The sequence below is a fragment of the Homo sapiens genome, chromosome 5 (assembly GCF_000001405.40).
Source record: "Homo sapiens chromosome 5, GRCh38.p14 Primary Assembly".
NCBI classification, from domain to species: domain Eukaryota; kingdom Metazoa; phylum Chordata; class Mammalia; order Primates; family Hominidae; genus Homo; species Homo sapiens.
This window is the reverse complement of record NC_000005.10, coordinates 31,117,032-31,120,455: the sequence shown is the minus strand read 5'-3', so window position 1 is coordinate 31,120,455 and position 3,424 is coordinate 31,117,032. Positions and strand designations below refer to the sequence as shown.

Here is a 3,424-nt window from a genome sequence, read left to right as displayed (position 1 = left end):
AGAATGTGAACATGTGAAGTTGAAAAACCTATTCAATAAGGTATCTCCTTGAAAGAACGCTAATCACACTGGGAAGTACATTTACACAAAATATAACTTCTTCATGCATGTTTAACGGAGCAGAATGTTTTTTGGAGTCACATTAGCTGACCCTGAGAAGAACACAGGCTTAGTTTACTGGATAACTTCCATTTTCATAAAATTGCTAAAATGCCACTTTTCTCTTCAATCCACATTTATATATGTGGCAGAACATTCTTTCTCAGAACAGAAGCCATTGTATGGTCCTCTTTCTGTGTTCTTTGACCTTGGCAGCACACCATCTCCAAGATTCCGCAATCATAGACAGTCACCCTGCTGTTGTGGGCAGACGATTGCCTTGCACAAACCTTTCTGGTGCCATTGGAAGTGACTCTCTGGAGACAAAGCCCAAGAATGACCCTGAGTATTACGTCTTTGTACATTCACTTCTGCATTTCATCTTTGCAGTTCTAAACCTATTCAAAGGTCTTTCTGTTTGAGCTTCTAAAATCTAGTATATCCTCTGCTGGATCGAGAGAAAAAAAGATGTAATTATAATACATGAACTGCCGTTGTTCTGCACATTAACACAGTAAGAGAAAATAGGAGTTTTTAATAGAAAAAATAGGTGTTTTGCTCTTCTTTCATATTTTTGTAAATAATGCAATATATCGGGAGTTAATTTTAAGGTAGTCAAGTGTGATGCATCACCATTAAGTCACTTTTACCAAGGAAAATAACCCAATATACTTCTATATAATAGAAGGAGAAATAAAGTATATTTCATTTTAACACAGAAATACAATTTTGTCCCAGAGTATAATTGGATTAATGGTATAGGAAGGCAGTTCATAATAGGGTTTTATTGTATTTTCCCTAAAGTTGCATAATAAAGGCACTTACCTGAGGAATCATCCGAATGCCTCTTTCTCGGTATATTCCATGGTGTCCATTGAACATGTTCACTTGGCAGACTTCTATGATGGTATTAATTTTTTATCAAATATTTGGATAATGATTATTTGATAAAAATCAGAGTTAGTAAAGAGTTCAGCAAGCAAAATATTGGTCTACTAAGCAATTTTGGGGGTCAGGGAGGGTTGAAGCTTATGGCTTTGATTATGTGAGAGGTCAGAATATGATAAATACCATGAGCTAGGGTCTTGCCTGAGCCAGACCCTTTGGATACAGACATGTCTGGTCATCTCTGAAACCCTACAGGGCACTGCCTCCTCATTGCATGAAGGACAAAGGATGGAGGAAATTTCCTGGGAGAGGATGCCTTCTGAGAAAGGCAGAGGAGGAGTCAAGCTTGACCCAATAACAAAGACTTCATCTTCAGAAGGAAGCAGAGATTTTGAGTTCGGCATGGAGTCTCGTTTGTAGCTGAGTTGTCTTCCAGGCCAGTCCCGTGGCCTCCTTCCTGTGGATTCTGAGTTCTGTGAAGTGTGTGTAAGAAATCTTGCTGGGAAGGATGGCTTTAAGTGAAAACTGAAAGCACTGATTGACTAGGGAATCTATCAGGCACTGCCTTGGTACCAACACTGATAAGACGCAACACAACAAGTGGGAAGAGTGCCTGTCCACTTTGTAAACAAACAAACAAAAAACTAAACAACACCCAAAACAACATCCCCACCCCATAAAACCAAAACCAAATGAACAAAAATACTCTGCTTCTTTGACTGATTGCTGAAAGACTCCATACATGTGTAGCGTGTGAAATTGCGGGGCAAAGTGGAAAGTGATGTAGCTCAGCAGAAATGCATTGCTGTGTTGTAGGATTTAGAGGAAGAGGCCATAGAATGGGAGAGAAGATGGGGAAGAAGAGAAAATGAATAACTGAGGCCACTTGTATTATGATTAAATTTTGTGATGATGAACAAAGTGCATAATTGCTTTCTTCCATTTTAAAATTATTAAAATGGATGTTAATACCACTGGCTCACTTTCATGTTTAATGAGCAGTGGAAATTTTATTGCTTTAAAAGTTTTTTAAACAGTTTTTTAAGGGATTTGCCTATTTATGACTAATATTTCCTGTTAGCATTGAAATATTAGAAAAACTTTATTCTCAACTCCATACTTATCATGGAGAGCTATTGCAAATTGGAAAGTGTATGGAATATGAAGTTGACTGGATTCCTCACTCTTCTGGGCTCCCCAAAAAGTTGGCTTAAAATTATCCCACTAATTTAGGGTTTCTCATGATTTTGGACTAGCAAATTTTTTGTTTTGAGAGACCATCCTCTGCATTGCTTGATGTTTAGTTGCATCCCTGACTTCTCCCCTCTAGATGCTTGCAGCATATCCTCACACCATTATTACAATATAACGTGTCTCCAGACATTGCCAATGTCCCCTGGGTGGGAGAAGGGGAGGGAATTGTTGCATATTGAGAATCACTGCTTTAATGTAGTCATTTGAAGCAAAATACTTGAAGAAAAAATGTTAGAATTGACTATAAAGTTATTAAGATAATATTAACCTCCTGATGCATTCTTTACTTAATTCTTGAAATTTTTTTTCTTAATGTGGGAATGTCATAGATGTTTAAACTGAAAAACAGTAGTAGTTGCCATTTATGCTATTTATTGAGAATTTCCTGAGTGTCCCACATTGTATTAAGCACTTTATCAACATACCACTCAATTCTTGCAACTATTCCTTGCAGTTGGTATTATTATCTGTCTCTTTCAGAGAAGGCTAGGGAAGTAAAAGAACTTTCTCAAAGTTACACAGCTAGTCACTGAAATACATAGTATTTAAGTCCACATCTACATGGGTACAGGCATTGGAAGTTTACTTTGTGCCTCAGTCAAGGTCCCTGAAGAAAAATGCCCACTCCAGTGGGGTAACCCAGGAGACCTTACCAAACAACATCTTTGCATATGAGAGCAGGAAAACTGACAAAGAATCGTGAAGCCCCCTACCAAGATCTGCCAGACTTTATGCTAGGTCTGAGGGGCTCAGGAAAAGGAGTAGTGACCATAACCCATAACAAGTGGCTGGAACTTCAAAGGGGACTGACAGACAGGAGCATGGAGGGATACAACCAACTCAACAGCTGCTAGGCTGGAAGGCACCTGTGGGTGGGAGCACCTTAAACCTTCCACCCTTTGAATTCCCCTTGATGAGCACCCACATCCAACAGGAAATTATGGGAAAAGGACCCTGTTGCTGTTGCATCCATACAGGGTGAGCTTCCAGGGCTCAGAGCTAGCTAAGAGTAAAGAATGGATCTGAAGGGCAGAGGGAAAAATTCCAGGCTGTTTTAACCTTAATAAACCTTTATATAATTCAGATTTTCATTAAATATTTTTGAGCACCTACACAGACCATGGTAATAACTATTGGTGATAATGTGCTGTGGCAGTTGTCTGCTAACTTTTTCTGTGAAGGG

General features: G+C 38.8%; 1 annotated feature.

Annotated features, from left to right (window-relative positions):
- Nucleotides 213–1,412: an enhancer, noted in NCBI's record as "CDK7 strongly-dependent group 2 enhancer chr5:31119151-31120350 (GRCh37/hg19 assembly coordinates)". NCBI's record gives its function as "activates an origin of replication core promoter dependent on BRD2, BRD4, P300/CBP, MED14 and CDK7 cofactors, with strong dependence on CDK7, by STARR-seq in HCT116 cells {active_cell/tissue: HCT116}" and the evidence as "EXISTENCE:reporter gene assay evidence [ECO:0000049][PMID:35650434]".